Below are 19,597 nucleotides of genomic sequence, written 5' to 3'. Positions count from 1 at the left end.
AGGGTACCAAGCAATTCATGAGGGATCCGCCCCCATGACCCAAACGCCTCCCACCAGGCCCCACCTCCAACACCAGGATCAAATTTCAACATGAGATTTGCAAGGAACAAACATCCAAACTATATCATATGATAACTCTAAGCTTAACTGCTGAAGGAACTGCCAGACTGTTTGTCAAAACTTCTTCATGATTTTACATTCTCCCAGCAGCGTATGAGGGTTCAACTTTCTCCATATCCTCGCCAACACCTGTTATTGTCTGTCTTTTTCATTGTGGCCATCCTAGTAGATATGAAGTGGTATCTCATTGTGGTTTTGATTGATGATGTTATTTTACAAGAATATGTCTGAATGGTACTCATGAGAGCTGTCTCCAAATATCTGAGGGCTTATTAGTTCTAAGGGGGGACTTATAAGTTGCTATGGTTGTGGGCCCAAAGTTGGAAGACTCTGCTCATCAAAAGGAGGCACCAATCACACAGCAAGTCAGCACCTCATGTGTGTTCAGCACTGTTGAAGTTAAACCATTAGGCTCGTACTTTGCGTCAGGCTTCTTGCTAAGTCCCAGGGATCTAATAAATCCCAAGCTCCTGGCAATCCTAGGATGGCTGCCTTGTTATCCCCATTTTAGGAATAAGGAAACCGAGGCTCCTCTAGGTTAAATCACTTGGCCAAGGTCACACTGAATAGGTCTGGGTTTGGACCCAGTTCTGCTAGACTCTAAACCCAGTGCACTTAGCCATTACACTCTACTATTGTGAAGGATATGGAAGCATAACATGTGAGGCTTGGTTTCAAACAGTTCAGTTGTAGGCACAAACCTAAAATGCATGAAATAGTGATGAATTAGAGGAAAACAGTGGATTATTAATTACTGAGGTATGGGGTGGTACCATTCTTGGAGGGAGCAGGAGTTTGTGTCAGTTAGCATTGACTAGATTATGTATCAGTAACAGATAATCCCAATATTATAGTGGCTTAAAGGAACAAAGATTTATTTCTCATGCTGCATGTCCGTTAGGAGTCCACAAGGAGGCTGTGCTTGTCAGAGTCACTCAGAGTGATGTCAAGATATCACTCAGAGTCACTCAAGCTGATGGAGCTTCCCTGCCTCCATTGTTGCTGGTTGCTTTGCCAGAATGAGCAAGATGAATGAATCTTGCACTAGCTCCTGTCTGGCAGTGACACACCTCAGTTCCATTCACCTTCGCTCACCAATGCAAATGATGTGGCCACACCCAACTTCAAGGGGGGAGGAAGTATAATCTTTCCATGTTCCAGGTGGAGTACTAAAAACACTTGGTGGACTACACCAACAACCGCCACCGAGTTTGTAGACAGAATCATGTAGGACTTGTGGGTATTGAGCACCAGTTCAAGCCAAGGGCAAAATGAAGTCTCCATTTTTACACAGAAGAATCTAGGCCTGCAAATAAACAGGTCAGTGAACTATCCACTAGGAAACTCACTGGAATACAAGAACATTTATTCATTACTCTAGAAACACCAAGAGATGGTGCCCCATGCATGGACAAGCAGGGACCACCTTGGTTCCACCTTCCTGCGGAACAGTCGTCTATCAGCTTGCATGGTATTCTTTCCTTAATGTGACATCTTCATATGAAAAAGCCCTTGTTTTCAGCAGCAACCCAGTTAGGTCTCTTTGGTTATTTTTGCATTGTGTACCTCCCATCACACGTTAGGGTTGGACAAAGATCCAGGAAGCCAGGCTTGGAAGAGAGGCTGTCTGAGTCTTGACCTACCTGCTGCTGCCTGGAGAGGCAGGGCTCCCCTACAACATCCAGCCTGCTCTCCTGGTTGACCAGCACTCCCTGGGAAAGGTTAGTGGCATACACACAGCCCTGGGCAGCAAAGTAGAGACTGAATTGAAACAGATACTAACTAAAATAAGACCTGCCCATTATTGTATCGATCTGTGCTTTTCAGCTTTTTAAAAACAATTTCTTCTTCAGATCGACATACAAGTCTCAAAGGTCATCCCTGACCCAAGGTTCTGATACATGAAGAAGCATCTCTCTTGTCTGTGTGTCCCCACTTGCCATGAGTATTTTTTTTTTTTTTGAGATGGAGTCTTGCTCTGTCACCAGGCTGGAGTGCAGTGGTGCGATCTCGGCTCACTGCAATCTCTGCCTCTCAGGTTCAAGCGATTCCCCTGCCTCAGCCTCTCGAGTAGCTGGGACTATAGGCGTGTGCCACCACACCCAGCTAATTTTTGTATTTTTAGTAGAGTCAGGGTTTCACCATGTTGGCCAGGATGATCTCACTCTCTTGACCTCGTGATCCACCCATCTTGGCCTCCCAAAGGGCTGGGATTATAGGCATGAGCCACTGCAACCAGCCAAGAGTATTTTATTGAATTTTACTTTCTATACTTTTGTCAGAAAATAAAAATTTCCAAATATAAAATTGTTATTATTTATAATTATTAATTATATTAAAATTGAATCTTCCTTTTAAAAACACTCATGTTCCTGTGAACCAGCAAGTACATCACTCCCTTGGGCTAGAGCCCCCAGTTGAGACTCGATGAACTCCAGCAGAGACTCTGACGAAGGAGTGACACAGTGTGTTGGGTCAGAGAGAAATGTGAAGCCCAGCAAACATATGTTCAAATCCAGATGCCACCATTCGGTGAACATGCACCCCGAGCAACTTTCCAGGGCTTACTTTCTTTGTCTATAAAATGGGAACAACAGGTACAGTACCATCTAGTCCATGGGGGTCACCAGAAGAAACTAGAAGATGTAACACACAAGGAACATTTAGAAGCAAGCATGTAACAAACACTCAGCAAATGGCGACTACATTATAACTTGTCCAGCCAAATAGATATGACCAGTGGTAACACGGAACTGAGAATTTTCACAATGTACTATTTTTACATCTTAATTTCTTTGGGCTTCTCTGCTTCCTCTTTTTAAAAAAGCTTACCACCCACTTGTTATTCTGGAGGGGGATGAACATAGATAAAAAGAGAGTTTAAGAACTCTTCATGGAAAGATAGCCAAACCACTAAAATACTATTTCAACAGAGGAGGTCACAGAATGGTGGAATGGTAGATCTGTAGGACTAAAGGAGACCTCAGATTTGTCACTCTTATCTGACTCATGAAACTGAGACCCAGAGAGGTGAAAGGGTGTGCTCGGTCCGGTAGCTGTGTTGCAGACTATGTGAATGGCACCTCTTGGTGTCATGCAATGCATAACAACCACCTGTGCAGCCTCATGGCCCTGCACAACCTCCTGACCACAGCGATGGAATAAAGTGGTCCAGTCAGGGGCATTTTCAGCCTCTGGGGATGTTGATATAGTAACTCCTCCTCTTTTCCCATACCCTGAAAAAATGCAGCCCAAGAAGCTGCCGATGCTCTTACAGCTGTGAGGGGAGGGGCTGCCCGAGGAGAGAGGTAACCTAGAGTTGAGAGATGGAGGAAGAGATACAGAATCTGGATGGCTATGCTCTGATCCTGTAATCCGACTATGCCTGAATGTGGATCTACCTTCCAAAGGTAGGGTGCTTTTCGTTTGTTTGAGCCATCTGGTGTCAGATGTTCTGTCACTTACTACCTTGTTATAATTAATAGAGGAGCTCAAAGAGCTATAAATATCTAAGGAGGAAGAGTTCAGGTTGCAAAGCCTTCCTAGACAAGGTTGCTTCAAAGGAAGGTCTGAAAGGAAGAATGGGAGGCAGGCAGGCTGCAAAGGGAGAGAAAATTCAGGGAAGGAGAAGACCAGGAACAGAGGCCTGAGATATGAGAGCCTGGTACTATGGACTGGATGCTTGTGGCTCCCCCCTTCCCCCTAATCGACTTGTTGAAGCCCAGTCCCCATTGTGATGGCATTAGGTGGTGTGGCCTCTGGAAAGTAATTAGGCCATGAGGGTGAATCCCTCATGAATGGGATTAGTGTCTTCATGAAAAGACAGGAGAGAGCTTGCTTTCTATCCTCTCTGCCATGTGAGGACACAACGAGAGAATGGTCATCTGCAAACGAGGAAGAGGTCCCTTACCAGAGCCGACCATGCTGGCGCCCTGATCTGACTTCCCGGCCTCTAGAACAGTGAGAAATAAATCTCTGTTGTCTAAGCCACCCAGTATATAGTCATTTATAACAGCACAGAGTGACTGAGACACCTGGGGTGGGGGTGTTTGGGGAATCATATTTAATTAAGCCTATTTGGTTAGAGTGTTGGATATCCAAAGCAGGTAACGGGGGTTAGGATTAAAGATGTAGGTTCCTACCAGTCTGTGAGTTTGTTCTTTTGTATTTTGGATAATAATTCAGCAAGAGAGGAGGGATGAGAATGAAAGGAGAGAACTGGTTGCGAGACTATTGGTAATTTTTGAAGTATGAGAGTCCATGGCTTCTAAGGTGACCAACTGTTCTGATTTGCCCGGGACTGAGGAATTTCCCAGGATGTGGGACTTTCAGTGCTAAAACTGAACAGTTCCATGCAAATGGGGATGATTGAACACCCTGAAACATCACCCAAACCATAAAGGAAGATATTGATAGATTTCATTCCATAAAAAATAACATGTGAATGAAAAAACAGAAAATAGTCTGAATGCATCTAAACTGTTTTTCTCTAGAAAAAAATTAAAATAAATGACTATCTCTTTGGGACTCAAGCCATTTAGTGACATTGCCCTTCATTTCCTGATTGCCAGTATCCAACCTCCTTGTGCCTGAACCCCATCAGTACTAGGAGCCCTGTCGCCTATGAATTCCCAAGTTCCTACATCTCACTTTAGCCAAAATCATCCATGTTTGCAGCACTCTCTTGCCTGTCATGGCCCTCCAACCTCCTGGAGCCCTCTGACTCCTCCATTGTTGCTCTTTCTTTCTTCTGTCTTCCTTCTCTAGCTAGTCAAGATCACCTAATCAGTCACTTCAAATAACTTGGTCGATATCATACCCTGTGGTCCTCTGCACTTGGCAAAATTCTGGACTCCAGATCAATTCCACGATCTATTCACCTTCTGCACAAAGGATGTGGAAAAACCGCAGATGAATTCTCAACTGCAGACCAATGCTTCTTTATATTCTTCTCTCCCACTTCCCACACAACTTTGAGCCCCTGCTCTACCACTGAACTAGCTGTGTGATTTGGGGCAAGTTGCTTCATCTCTCTGGGTCACTGTTTTCTCACCCAAAAAGTGAGATGTTGTAAGGAATAACTGAGTTAGTACGCATAAAATGCTAAGCACAGGCAATGGCATGTAATAAGCACCTCATAAATGCTGGCTTTTACTGATGCTAGGATTTTGAATGCACACTTAGAGGGGTTAAGTCAGTGTGTCAGGAAGTAGCAGGTCATAGCATTGTGATGTTTGGCAAATAAATGACACAGGACACTAAACTGTGCAAAATTTTACTTTTGCAAAGATTTAATTCCACATTTCACCAAAGATGATGCTTTGGTCATCAGTCAATGATGAAGGCATCATTGACTAATGATCCCTTATGATCATTAGTCATAAGGGAAATGCAAATTAAAACCACAATATACCACTATGCATATGTTACAATGTCTAAAGTTTAAAAGACTGATCATCCCAAATTTTGGCAAGAATGTGAAGAAACTAGAACTCTCATACCCTGCTAGTGGGAATGGAAAACATTTGAAAGAACAGTTTACTGTTTCTTTTTCATTTTTTGGCACTTTCTTAATATGCTAGATAAACATCTACCGTAAGATCCAACTATTCCACTCCTAGGTATTTACCCAAAAGACGAGAAAGCGTAGGTCCACACAAAGATTTGTACACAAATGCTCACAGCAGCATTATCTATAATGGCCCCAAAACTGGAAACAAGCCAACTGTCCCTTAACAGGGACATGGATGGGTAAACAAATTGCATTGTATTCATACAGTGGACATAGTCCTCAATAACAAAAAGGAATGAAGTATTGATACAACACAACATGGATGAATCACAAAATTACATTGAGTGAATGAAGCCAGTAAAAATAGGACATATGGCTTAATTTCATTTATATAAAATTCTAGAAAATGGAAACTCATTTATGGTGACAGTAGGCAGTTCAGTTATTGCCTGGGAAATGAGGAGGGGAAGGTGAAAAAGGGCAGGAGTGAGAAATTACAAATGGGCTTGAGAAAATTTTCTGGGGTGATAGATACGTTATCTTGATTGTGGTGATGGTTTCACTGGTGTATAAATATGTCAAAACATGTTGAATTGCATACTTCAAATATATGTAGTTTGTTGTATGCCAGTTGTACTTCAAGAAAGCTATTACAAAATGACTTTTGCAGATTAAGAGTCTCAGCTCTTAGAGATGTCAGCTGCAAAAAGGGAACCCAGTTGACTTGGATAGGAAATGCATGTCACCATATTGCTTAGACACCACCAAACTAGTGAAATAGCTTAAAGGGATCTGATATGAATAAATGTATAATTACTGTTTGGAAGATATTTGTTGTAGTTTATTATTTTATAGTTGCATCCAGAATAAGAAACCATGAAGACACATATAAATATTTTCCAGTGCTAAAATATTTGCCTCTTGAGCAGGGTTGAGTGGATTATTAAGAATTCCAAACAATAATTACACATTAGTTTAAATATAAGCCTAGGACTAAAAAGAAATATATCTCAAAAAGATAATAAAATGAAACAAGCAAATGTTCACAATGGCAATTAGCACCAATTTAGTAAAAGAGAAGGACAGTCCATATTCCTTAAAGGGAAGCCAATTCCTGAGGCTTTCTCCCCACATTCATCAAGGCTGCTGAAGAGGGCATTTCCCAAAGAACAGCAGCCTCCAATGAGTGCCTGGCCATGTGAGAGAAATTATAAGTAGATGGCTGCTAGGACGTTGTTTTTCCCAAAGGGGAAATTGTGCCAAACCCAAGTGGGAGAAGGCAGCCAAGAAGAAGAGAGCAGGCTCACCACAATGTAAAGCAGCAAAAAAGGAAAAGTGCCCAGGTCACAGTGACTCTCTCACTGTCAGACTAATAACTGTCATTTCTTGCTGCTGTCAGTAAGACTTTTCTCCAGCAGCCATCCCCTATCTACCAATTTTCTTTCCTAATCTTGGGCCAGAATCCCCTAAGATATATGGAGCATTTTACTAGGAAATAGTACCAGATTTCCCTAAAGAATTAAAAACCTAAAACCCAAAAGGAGTAGGGTGATCAGGCAAGTGGAATAACTATAACAAATAACTAAATATAAGAAATAGCCAGGTGTGGTGGCTCAGGAGTGTGAGGCTGCCGTGAGCTATAATTGTGCCACTGTATCCAGAGCCTGGGCAACAGAGCAAGACCCTGTTTCTGGGGGGTAATGGGGGGAAGGAATGTATACAGAGGCCAGATGTGGTGGCTCACGCCTGTAATCTCAGCACTTTGGGAGGCTGAGGTTGGTGGATCAACCTCTGAGTTCGTGGAGTTTTCAAATGCCCCTTGGAACTGACATAAATGTTTCCTACAGAAGAAGAAAGGCAAGGAAGAGTTGAGGCTCTAGCTAGCCCTGTGGCTGTGGGTGAGCTGCCCGGCCTTTTCAAGCCTCAGTTTCCTTGCCTGTCAAATGGGATTGTTAATGGCTACCTCACAGGGTTGCTGAGATGCTAAGAGCCCTGAAAGGGTTTTGCAAAAGCCAAAGCATTTTACCAACATGGAAAATTAGCACCATCTGTGTGTCTATGGAAAATCAGACAGAACTTTGATATATTGTTTATACCAGGTTTCTTGATACTTTCTAAACAATATCCTGGGCTGGTTGGGGTAGCTCATGCCTATAATTCCACAATTTTGGGAGGTCAAAGCAGGAGGATTGCTTGAGCCCAGAATTCGAGACCAGCCTGGGCAACATAGTGAGACCTCATCTCTATGAAAATTAAAAAAATAAAAAAACACAAAAAAACCACCAACCAAGAATATTATGCAAAGCTTTAATTTCGGCCCATTGCATTATGAAAACAAGTAGACATTTGTCTTGCTTCCCAGTTGTACAAATTTCTGCCTCCCTTGAGATCTTGATTTATCTGTCCCCTTTACCCCACCCACCATCATGTGTCTAAGGAGATGACAATGACAACCCAACTGAGGAGGCTGGACCCAAGGACTAAACTGTGGTTGGCCTTAAGGTCTGACTGGAAGCCAGCAGTTCCTGGCTCCTCACCCCTTTTGCCTCTCCTCCCCAGAGCTGAAGCCACATGTATTAGTCCTTTCTCACACTGCCATAAATAACTACCTGAGGCTGGGTAATTTATGAAGAAAAGAGGTTTAATCAACTCAAGTTCCACAGATTTGACAGGAAGCATGGCTGGGAGGCCTCAAGAAACTACTTACAATCATGGCAGAAGGTGAAAGGGAAGCAGGTACATCTTACCATGGCAGAGCAGGAGAGAGAGAGAGCACGAAGCGGGTAGTGCCACGCACTTTTAAACCATCAGATCTTGTGAGAACTCACATATTATCACAAGAACAGCAAGGGGGAAACTGCCCCTATGATACAATCACCTCCCACCAGGTCTTTCCCCCAACACCGGGGATTACAATTCAACATGAAATTTGGGTGGGGACACAGAGTTAAACCACATCATTCTGCCCCTGGCCCCTCCCAAATCTCATATCCTTCTCACATTTCAAAACCAATCAGGCCTTCCTAAGAGTCTTCCAAAGTCTTCACTCATTCCAGCATCAACTCAAAAGTCCAAGTCCAAAGTCTCATCAGAGACAAGGCCAGTCCTATCCGTCTATGAGACCGTAAAATCAAAAACAAGTTAGTTACTTCCAAGATAAAATGGGGGTACAGGCATTGGGTAAATGCACCCATTCCAAATGGGAGAAGTTGGCCAAAACAAAGGGGCTACAGGCCCCATGCAATTTTGAAACCCATCAGTACAGTCATTAAATCTTTTTTTTTTTTTTCCGAGGCAAAGTCTGGCTCCGTCACCTATGATGGGGTGCAGTGGCACAATCTTGGCTCACAGCCTCTGCCTCCAGGGCTCAAGCCATCCTCCTACCTCAGCCTCCCAAGTAGCTTGGACCACAGGTACACACCACCATGCCCAGCTAATTTTTTTTTTTTTAAAGAGACAGGGTTTTGCCATGCTGCCCAGGCTGGTCTCAAACTTGTGAGCTCAAGTGATCCACCACCTTGGGCTCCCAAAGTGCTGGGATCACAGGTGTGAGCCACCGTGCCCAGCTGATTAAATCTTAAAGCTCCAAAATAATCTTCTTTGACTCCATGTCTCACATCCAGGCCATGCTGATGTAAGAGGTGGGCTCCCATGTGCCATGTCCCAAGGCTGCACAGAGCAGCTGGGCCCTGGGCCTGGCCCATAAAACCATTTTGCCCTCCTAGGCCTCTGGGCTTGTGATACAAGGGGCTGCTGTGAAGGTCTCTGACATGCCCTGGAGATATTTTCCCCATTGTCTTGGCAATTAACATTTGGCTCCTCTTTACTTATGCAAATTTCTGTAGCTGGCTTGAATTTCTCCCCAGAAAATGGGTTTTTCTTTTCTACTGCATGGTCAGGCTGCAAATTTTCCAAACTTTTATGCTCTGCTTCACTTTTAAATGTAAGTTCCAATTTCAAACCATCTCTTTCTCTATGCATATCAGCATACACTTTTAGAAACAGCCAGGTCACATCTTGAATGCTTTGCTGCTTAGAAATTTCTTCTACCAGATATCATATGTCATCACTTCCAAATGGAAAGTCCCACAGATCTCTAGGGCAGGGGCAAAATGCCACCAGTCTCTTTGCTAAAGCATAGTAAGAGTGACCTTTACTCCAGTTCCCAGTAAATTTCTCATCTCCATCTGAGAGCACCTCAGCCTGGACTTCGTTGTCCATATCACTATCAGCATTTTGGTCAAAACCACTCAACAAGTCTCTAGGAAGTTTCTAACTTTCCACATCTTCCTGTCTTCTTCTGAACCCTCCAAACTCTTCCAACCTTTGCATGTTACCCAATTCCAAAGTCACTTTGTCATTTTTAGGTATTTCTATAGCAGTGCCTGACTCCCAGTACCAATTTCCTGTATTAGTTCATTCTCACACTGCTATGAAGAACTACCTGAGACTGGTGATTGAATCATGGGGGTGGACTCCCACCAGGCCCCACCCGCAACATGTGGGGATTGCAATTTGAGATGAGATTTGGGTGGGGACACAGAGCCAAACCATACCACCTCAGCATTCCATCTCTGGTCCCAGCCAACTGCAGACTCTCAGGCTTTCATGCTGCATCCCTAGTATCTGCCTGTTCCAGCATCTTGAATGCTCGTTCAGGTTGTAAGCAAATACCTATGCAGTCCTTGTTCCTGAGGCTCAGTCATCATAACTTGCCCAGAAGCTCGGGGCACTTAGGATGGGGTTCCTGCCTTGCCTTTTCCAAACACAGTTCATTTCCCCTGTCCTTGCTACAAGAATGGGTCTCCCCCAAAATTCAGGCCACATGTCCAGGCTGTTGTCCTCTCTGCAGACATGCCTGATGAGCTGACCTGTGAGGACCTCTGAATAAATCAGGGATTCTCAGCCTCAGCACTGTTGACATTTTAGTGGGATAATTCTTCACTGGGGGCATGTGGCTGTCCTGGGCATCACAGAATGTTTACCAGCACCCTTGGCCTCTACCCACTGGATGCCAGTAGCACCCCTCACCCAAGATGTGAGAACCCAGCCTGGATGTGAGACATGGAGTCAAAGAAGATTATTTTGGAGCTTTAAGATTTAATCAGCTGGGCACAGTGGCTCACACCTGTGATCCCAGCACTTTGGGAGTCCAAGGTGGTGGATCACTTGAGCTCATAAGTTTGAGACCAGCCTGGGCAGCATGGCAAAACCCTGTCTCTATTAAGAAAAAAAAAAATTAGCTGGGCATGGTGGTGTATACCTGTGGTCCAAGCTACTTGGGAGGCTGAGGTAGGAGGATGGCTTGAGCCCTGGAGGCAGAGGCTGTGAGCCAAGATTGTGCCACTGCACCCCATCATAGGTGACGGAGCTAGACCTTGCCCAGACATTGCCAACACTGTCCCCAATGGAGAGTCACGAGATGAGGCTTCCTCTGAGAGCCCCTGTTGCTGCCTCCTGGAGACCTGTTACTGTCGGTTGGAGCCCCCAGTTGCCCCATGAATAGCTTCCACCTCTCATCAGTAAGCACAGTTTCAGAGACTGATCAGCTGGCCTTCCACTCTGGGACATTTGTTGAATTTTTGGCCACCCAGCCTTGACCCCACTTCCTGAGTTTGGGACCACCCCATTCAACATGGTGAGAGGCAAAGTCAGCTTTGTGTTAGGCAAAGACCCCTGCTAAGGTAAGGCACACTCTCTCGAAGCTTCCCTTGTGGTTAGGGCTTGGCTGGTTGGAGGCACTCACCTCAGACTTCAGGTTGGTGGGGATCTACTTTAACAGTGGCCACAGGGGCAGTCACCACAACCAGACCCAGTGATACCAGAACAAGCTACCTCCAGGGGTGTGACGTGGGCTCCAGTCCCATGACATCCCTCCTTCTTCCCCATTTTGCAGACACAGTTCTGTCTTCCCACCATTGTGTGGCCACCCAGTATCCTCTCACTAAGTTTCTTTTCTGCCTGACTTAGCCAGCACCAGCTTCTGTGGTTGTACGTAGGTTGCTAAGGATTATCACCTCTTCTTCCCCATCCCCATCTGTGGGTCTGACCCCCATGGTGACCCATCTCCTCTAAATCTCTCCTCTCACAGTCAGCCTTCATGTCTAGACAGGTCCTTGGAGGATGGAAATACCTTTTTGTTCCAACTATCTGTGTTACAACCCTTCTAGAGGCCAGGCACAGTGGCTCACACCTGTAATCCCAGCACTTTGGGAGGCCAAGGCAGGGAGATCACCTGAGGTCGGGAGTTCGAGACCAGCCTGACCAATATGGTGAAACTCCATCTCTACTAAAAATACAAAAATTGGCCGGGCGTGGTGGCACGTGCCTGTCATCCCAGCTACTCGGGAGGCTGAGGCAGGAGAATTGTTTGAACCTGGGAGGCAGAGGTTGCAGTGAGCTGAGATTGCACCACTGCACTCCAGCCTGGGCAACAGAGGGAGACCCTGTCTCAAAAAAACAAAAATACAAAAAACAAAACACCCTTCTAGACATAGGCAGCTCTTGCCTCACAAGCATCTGGTTTACAAGGGAGCATCCACTCACCATCATCACTAGTGTGTGGGCTGCTGCAGAAACTTCTGGAAGAGGTTTCTCTGTTAGTCTAGTGTGGCATTTTGGCCTGTGGTCTTACTTCCACAAAACTTAGAAAATGATGTGTGAAAACAGCACTGAGAGGTGAGTGAGTTGTCTGAAGGCCACACACCTGGCTAGTGCTGAGTCCGTGGCAGGAACTGAGCTGCAGGGTCTCAGCCAGGCCACCTGCCTTCCCTAGTCCTTGCTGAGCCACCAGGACTAGCAAACAGTTCAGCAACAAAGTTAAAGGGTGCACTAGGCCGGAAAAATTGACCTGGTTTAAATTTTGGCAAGAATGGAGGCAGGGACTCAGCTAAGGTTGCCTTTCCTTTGTTTACCACTACCCTAGCCAACAAGCAGCACTGGGACGTCAAAGGTCCTGGGAGCATTGTGTGTGGTTCCCTTGCACATAGTGGAACGAGATCAATATCTGTTGAGAGGAAGGTGATGAGGCAGGAGCCTCCTGCCCATGCTCCTCAACCATTACCTGGGTAGCTGCTAAATGACCTGATAAACACACTGAGCTCTGAGACCTTGGGGCTTTGAGATAAAGACAGGACTGGTTCTAGTGGCCCAGGGGTCCGGGTTTCTTTCTAGAAGCATATGTGTCTCCAGTAGCTGTCTGGGGAAGCTGCTGGGTTTTGTAAGGGGCTTTGCAGGGAGATCACAGGGCAGCGGCTACTTGAAAGGCTTCGAGAACAAAATCAATACGGGCCCTGCAAGCCAAGATTTCACAGCAAATTTTAGCTATTTGCTGCTGCTGACCTGGAAAGAGTTGAGAGGGGGCGCCAGTTGCCTTTGCGGGAGGGGAAGGCTGTTGGCAAAACCTGAGGTCAATGACCTCAATAGGAAGTAATAATAATAGGAGACCAGTAAAATTAGCTTCCTAGGGGCTGCTGATTGGCTACGAATTACCAGGCACCGCCCATACGGCTACAGCATGAACCTCCACAACAAGCCAGTGGAAGCCAATGGGGAAGGACATGTGACTTGCCCAAGGTCACCCAGCTGGCAAGGGTGAGAGCTGGGATTCCAACCCATTTTGCTGCACTTCGGAGCCCGGTCCCTGTGCACACCACACCACCACCTCCCAAGGATAACGAGAACATGACCTAGACTCTATGTGAAGGCACAGTAAGTACATCTTAGGTTTCCAGAGAACAGACTTGAAACATTCTGCTGTGTTAATAAAAACTTACTTTCTCACCTTGCAAAATTGGCAACGGCTCTGCTCACCCCGACCACAGTCAGCCCCTGCTGATGGCTTTCCCAAAGACATTCCCACACCCCCAAGTCCAGGGAGAGGTTTGTGTCTCCCTCTCTACAGCAGATCCACTAGCATCCCTAGGGAGAATCTAATGGAACAGGAGATGGGTATTTAGCTATGCATTTTTCTTTCTTTTTTTATATTTATTTTTTGAGACATGATCTTTCTCTGTCACCCAGGTTGGAGTGCAGTGGCATGAATATGGCTCAGTGCAGCCTTGAACTCCTGGACTCAGTGATCCTGGACTCAGTATTTAGCTATGCATTTTTCTTTCTTTTTTTATATTTATTTTTTTGAGACAAGGTCTTTCTCTGTCACCCAGGTTGGAGTGCAGTGGCATGAACATGGCTTGACCTCCTGGACTCAGCGATCCTCCCACCTTGGTCTCCTGAGTAGCTGGGACCACAGGTGCTCACCACCACACCTGGCTAATTTTTTTATTTTTAGTAGTAATTTTTTAATTTTTAATTTTAGTAAAAAAATTTTTTAAATTAATTTTTAGTAGTAGTAATTTTAATTTTAAAAATGAAAACTAATTTTTTAATTTTTAGTAATTTTAATTCTTTAGCAAGAGATGCAGTCTTGATCTGTTGCCCAGGATGGTCTTGAACTCCTGGGCTCAAGTAATCCTCCTGCCTCGGCCTCCCAAGGTGCTGGGATTACAGGTGTGAGCTGCCACGCCCAGCCTAGTTATGTACTTTTCTCAAGAGTGGCTACCTGATTTGGCTTAGTCTAATTTCTCCCAAGCCCTGTGGCAAGGGGACAGCATAATCATGTTAAAGTGTACATTGGAGTTAAACTTTATTTCTCCAAGGCCCTCACATTATTTCATAAAAAAGCAGTTGCAGAACCATATGTACGGTATAATCCTGTTTCTGTAAAAATAAAATCTCTATAAATTCATGTGTATTCATAAGAAATAACCTGAGAGGTTGCTCAGTAAATTGCTAACAGTAGTTGGCTCTGGGGAGCAGGATCAAGGCTGTGCTGTGTCTGTGGAAAGGGCCCTTACACTTTTTCCTTTATTTTTATTTCGTAGTTTTTCAGAGACAGAGTCTCACTGTGTCACCCAGGCTGGAGTGCAGTGGCATGATCATAGCTCACTGCAGCCTTGACCTCCTGGGCTCAAGTGATTCTCCAACTTCAGCCTCTCAAGTAGCTGGGACCACAGATGCATGCCACCACACCTGGCCCATTTTCTAGAATGTTATCTGAATGGAATAATATAGTACGTATTCCTTTTATCTTGCTTCTTTCACTCAGTGTAGTTTTTCTGCAATTCATCCATATCGTTGAATGTATCAATAGTTCATTCCTTTTTAATTTCTGAGAGTATTTCATTGAATGGAAACATCTCAATTTGTTTATCCATTCACTTGTTGGTGGACATTTGGGTTGTTTTCAGTTTTTAGCCATTACTAATTAAGCTGTTATGAACATTATTGTACAAGTCTTTCTATGGCCATATATTACCTTGGGTGAATACAGTAAATACCTAGGAGTGGAATGGCTGGGTTATCAGTGCGTGTATGTTTATCATTTAAGAAACTGCATAACTGTTTTCAAAGTAGTTGCACCATTCTGCATTACTATCTTCATTAATAAAGCATTTTTTTTAAAATGGCTTTACTGGTATTCATTGACCTTTACAATATAAACTATATAAACTTTCCCCAGTTTCAGAGTTTGGGGTGGAATTTGGGAGACAGCTGAATCTTCTTCATAATAAAGGGAAAGAACTGAAGGTGGTGATGTAGGGTGTGGCCCCTGTATGGAGCCAGGAATCTGCACCCAAGTGGCAGAAACACAGACAATAAAAAGACCCAGGCCGGGCGCGGTGGCTCACGCCTGTAATCCCAGCACTTTGGGAGGCCGAGGCAGGCGGATCAGAAGGTCTGGAGATCAAGACCATCCTGGCTAACACGGTGAAACCCCGTCTCTACTAAAAATACAAAAAATTATTGGTCGTAGTGGCACGTGCCTGTAGTCTCAGCTGCTTGGGAGGCTGAGGCAGGAGAATCGCTTGAACCCGGGAGGCGGAGGTTGCAGTGAGCCGAGATCACGCCACTGCACTCCAGCCTGGGCAACAGAGCAAGACTCTGTCTCAAAAAAAAAAAAAAAAAAAAAGAAAGACCCAGTGGACTGGGCACAGTGGTTCACATCTGTAATCCCAGCACTTTGGGAGGCTGAGGGGGGGCGGATGGCTTGAGCTCAAGAGTTTGAGACCAGCCTGGGCAACATGGCAAAACCCCGTTTGTACAAAAAATTAGCCAGGCATGGTGGTGCATGCCTGTGTTCTCAGCTACTTGGGAGGCTGAGGTGGGAGGATCACCCGAGACCAGGGAGGTCGAGGTTGCAGTGAGCCAAGATAGCATCACTACACTCCAGCCTGGGCGACAGAGCGAGAACCTGTCTCAAAACAAAAACACAAAAAGATCCCGTGACTGTGTGGCCATGAATGGACTTGGGAAGAATGAAAATGAGTCCTGTGGGGTCCTATGGCTGTGTGGGATGTGGGCTGTGCTACATAAAGACCCCTCCTCAATTGCTACCATGAAGTCTCCAGTGAAGTCTCCGTTACTCACCCACACTTTTGCATGTGTGAATTCTGTTGGCCAGTGTTTCCCAAACTTCAGATAAGCACTTATCCTATAGCCTATTATTGTTCTCTAAATCAACTCACCTTACTTTTACCAAATTTATTTTATCTTTATCTCAACCTTATAAAGATAGCTATTCCTTAAAACTATTTAGACTTAAAACATTAGCTTCTGGCCTCCCTTACTCATCTCATGGCCCACCAGTGGGCCTCACTGCACTGCTTGGGAAACTAGGTTTTAGGGGAACTCAAAGAAGGCTCAGAGCCTGGCAGCTGCATACATAGGCCCACTACACATATGTGAGATGTGCTTTGACATCTGCGTGTTTTCCCCATTGTGAGGATGTGGGCTCCCATTCAAGCTTGGTGCTGAGCCTGGCACATCCTGATTGGGCCACATACTCTTTTTAAAAGAATAGCAAAGCTCACGACTCATGGCCAGGCAGTATATGATCAGTGCCATACATGCAGAGGCCCTAGTGCCTGAGGAACTCAGAGGAGGACACAGGCTTGTTCTTAGGACACTCTCTCTGGTCATGACTGTTCCAATCAGCCTGTATCAACCAGTGGGGGTCCCATCTGAGTTGTCCACCCTCCCTCTGAAATGTCCAACACCCCCATCAGAATCATCCAGACCTCTGCTGTTTCCTATTTCTAGGGGGAAGTGACTCTGCTTTGGACTGGTGGCATCAGGCAAAAAGAGTGCTCTCCGCAGGTTTGGTGCCACAAGTGGGACTAAGCAGGGTTTTGAGGGTCTTAATCACCCTTCTCAGGACACAGCAAGAGTTATGAATTAAGAGTCTGGAGGGAAGTGGGGACCTTAACTTGGGAATAACCCTAGCTCCTGGCCCTGTAGCCACTTTTCCTGTCCACATGGGGTTTCAGGCTGACAAGTCCCCTGACATGGCCCAAGGGGGACTTAAGAGGTTCCTAAGAGTGCTGAGGGTGTCACCATGGGTGGGGTGTTAAAGGAACTTCCTCTGGAGTGATGTCCTTCTCTTGAACTAGGAGTATCTAATTTGGTCCAGGTGAGCTTTTCAGTTTAGGGTAGTGAAGGGCGGTCCCTGGATCAGAAGCGTCAGCATCACCTGGGAGCTTGTTTGGAATGCAAATTATTCAGGCCAGACCTCCCACTGAATTGAAAATTCTGAGACTATGGCCAAGCAATCAAGCCTCCCCAGGTGACTGTGAGGTAGGCTCAAGTTTGAGAAACTTTAGAAATCGACTCCTTAAAAAATCCCAGCCAGAAACGGCGGGTCATACCTGTAATCCCAGCACTTTGGGAGACTGACATGGGAGGATCCCTTGAGCCCAGGAGTTTGAGACCAGCCTGGGCAACATAGGGAGACTCCCATCTCTACCAAAAATAAAAAATTAGCCGAGCATGGTGGCACATGCCTGTGGCCCCTGTTACTCAGGAGGCTGAGACGGGAGGATTGCTTGAGCCAGGGAGGTCGAGGCTGCAGTGAGCTGTGATTGCACCACTGCACTCCAGCCTGAGAACAGAGCAAGACCCTGTTTCAAAACATTAAAAATCCTCTCTCTGTCTCTCCTTCTCACACCCACACCTCCCACAGGCTCCCCACCCCGACTCCCCGCCCACACACACACCCATATACTTGGCCAGCAAAGGGCTGTAGTTTGAACATGTGGTTCAAGGAACACAAGTCGTTGCACAGCTGATACAGAAAATCCGAAACTTCCCTGCCCCCAGCCCTCCATCAGGAGTCTCCGGCTTCCACGACCACTTTCACACAGCCCTTATTGAACTCTTGGTTCGACCCTTACTTTTGCATTCCAACTGGATACAAAGCTGAGGACTGTTTTCCTATTATCTGCCAGATGAATGCTTGGATCGGTGTCCAGGCTGCCCGGTCGTGCTTAGTAATCGGAAACAGAGACAGCGGAAATCTCAAATTCTGGTTTCCTGCCGGGGAGCCAGCTCCAAGTCTGCGGGAGAGGAAAGGACGTTGTGACACAGCGCCACCCTGTGGCAGAAAGGAGAAGAGCCGCTCTTGGCCTGTTGTCTGCATTGGATCTCAAGGCCTGGGGTTGTCAGAAACCTGAAACCTTGCAGAACCCCAAAATAACAAAACTGTCATTTAAAGAGCACTTACTGTGTGTTAGGGAGGCACTGTGATAATTGTCTTATATTGTTATGGCCTCAGAGTTTCCCATGAGATGGATACTATTTTCTGAATAAGGAAACTGGAGCCCAGAAGGGTTAAGAAATTTGCCTAAGTTCACACAGCCAAGAAGTAGCCAGGCTACACATCCGCTGAGTGTGGTCACAGAGGCCACAATTTTTTTTTTTTTTTTTTTTTGAGACAAGGTCTCACTCTGTTGCCCAGGCTGGAGTGCAGTGGCACGATCTTGGCTCACTGCATCCTTGACCTTCCAGGCTCAAGTGATCCTCCTGCCTCAGCCTCCCAAGTAGCTGGGACCACAGGCATGCACTACCATGCCCGGCTAATTTTGTTTATGTTTTTGTAAAGACAAGGTCTCCCTATGTTGCCCAGGCTGGTCTCTAACTCCTGGGCTCGAGTGATCCTCCAGCCTCGGCCTCCCAAAGTGCTGGGATTGCAGGCATGAGCCACTGCATCCGGCCGAGGACACACATCTAACCACCACTCTGTCCTTCCAGTCACCTGCTCAGCAGAGAACATTCCCTATAGCAGGGCTTCTCAAACTCACACCTGCAGGAGGCACTGGGGAATCTTGTTAAAATCCAGATTCTGATTCGGCTGATCTGGGGTAGGGCCCAAGAGTCTACGTTTCTTTTCTTTTCTTTCTTTCTTTTCTTTTTTTTTTTTGAGACGGAGTTTCACTCTTATTGCCCTGGCTGGAGTGCAATGGCACAGTCTCAGCTCACTGCAACCTCCGCCTCCTGAATTCAAGCGATTCTCTTGCCTCAGCCTTCCGAGTAGCTGAGACTACAGGCACCTGCCACCACGCCTGGCTAATTTTTGTATTTTTAGTAAAGACGGGGTTTCACCATGTTGACCAAGCTGGTCTTGAAGTCCTGACCTCAGGTGATCAGCCTGCCTTGGCCTCCCAAAGTGCTGGGATTACAGGCGTGAGCCACTGTGCCCAGTCTGAGCCCAGTCTACATTTCTAAGGGCTCCTAGGTAATGTGGTGCTGCTGGTTCGTGGACCACACTTGGAGAGGTGAGGCCCTAGAGCAGCTGTCCAGTAGAACTTTCTGTGATGGTGGAAGTGCTCTAACTCTGCGCTGTGTCATACATCGCCACTGGCTGCAGGTGCTATGGAGCACCTGAAACATGGCTACTGCAACAGAGAAATACATTTTAATTTTAGTTCATTTAAATTAATTTGAATTTAGCCACATGCACATAGTGGCCTCCATACTGGATAGTGCAACATCCATCATGAGTGGGGGCTCAGGCTTGTCATTCAAGAGCCAAAATACCATGGTAGGTTAAAGCAAGACTATATAGGGTAACAAATTTTTGGAGTCATTAGAGATAGTATATTCAACACTGCTGTTTTACATATAAGGAAA

General features: G+C 45.7%; 1 long non-coding RNA gene across 1 annotated transcript in view, besides 6 other annotated features; it reads left to right on the top strand.

Annotated features, from left to right (window-relative positions):
* Positions 2,614 to 2,763: an enhancer, noted in NCBI's record as "active region_15919". NCBI's record gives its function as "activates an Ori minimal core promoter by ATAC-STARR-seq in GM12878 lymphoblastoid cells {active_cell/tissue: GM12878}" and the evidence as "EXISTENCE:reporter gene assay evidence [ECO:0000049][PMID:35858748]".
* Positions 2,804 to 2,873: an enhancer, noted in NCBI's record as "active region_15918". NCBI's record gives its function as "activates an Ori minimal core promoter by ATAC-STARR-seq in GM12878 lymphoblastoid cells {active_cell/tissue: GM12878}" and the evidence as "EXISTENCE:reporter gene assay evidence [ECO:0000049][PMID:35858748]".
* Positions 2,914 to 3,053: an enhancer, noted in NCBI's record as "active region_15917". NCBI's record gives its function as "activates an Ori minimal core promoter by ATAC-STARR-seq in GM12878 lymphoblastoid cells {active_cell/tissue: GM12878}" and the evidence as "EXISTENCE:reporter gene assay evidence [ECO:0000049][PMID:35858748]".
* Positions 3,428 to 19,597, top strand: part of LINC02245 (long intergenic non-protein coding RNA 2245) — a 30,608-nt gene continuing 14,438 nt past the window's right edge. Inside the window, exon 1 of the long non-coding RNA NR_036586.1 lies at positions 3,428 to 3,530. This is a non-coding gene — a long non-coding RNA (long intergenic non-protein coding RNA 2245). The remainder of the gene's footprint in view (positions 3,531 to 19,597) is intronic.
* Positions 17,691 to 17,770: an enhancer, noted in NCBI's record as "active region_15916". NCBI's record gives its function as "activates an Ori minimal core promoter by ATAC-STARR-seq in GM12878 lymphoblastoid cells {active_cell/tissue: GM12878}" and the evidence as "EXISTENCE:reporter gene assay evidence [ECO:0000049][PMID:35858748]".
* Positions 18,781 to 18,830: an enhancer, noted in NCBI's record as "active region_15915". NCBI's record gives its function as "activates an Ori minimal core promoter by ATAC-STARR-seq in GM12878 lymphoblastoid cells {active_cell/tissue: GM12878}" and the evidence as "EXISTENCE:reporter gene assay evidence [ECO:0000049][PMID:35858748]".
* Positions 19,201 to 19,390: an enhancer, noted in NCBI's record as "active region_15914". NCBI's record gives its function as "activates an Ori minimal core promoter by ATAC-STARR-seq in GM12878 lymphoblastoid cells {active_cell/tissue: GM12878}" and the evidence as "EXISTENCE:reporter gene assay evidence [ECO:0000049][PMID:35858748]".

Source organism: Homo sapiens, chromosome 2, assembly GCF_000001405.40.
Source record: "Homo sapiens chromosome 2, GRCh38.p14 Primary Assembly".
NCBI lineage: Eukaryota > Metazoa > Chordata > Mammalia > Primates > Hominidae > Homo > Homo sapiens.
This window is presented reverse-complemented; position numbering and strand designations above follow the sequence as displayed.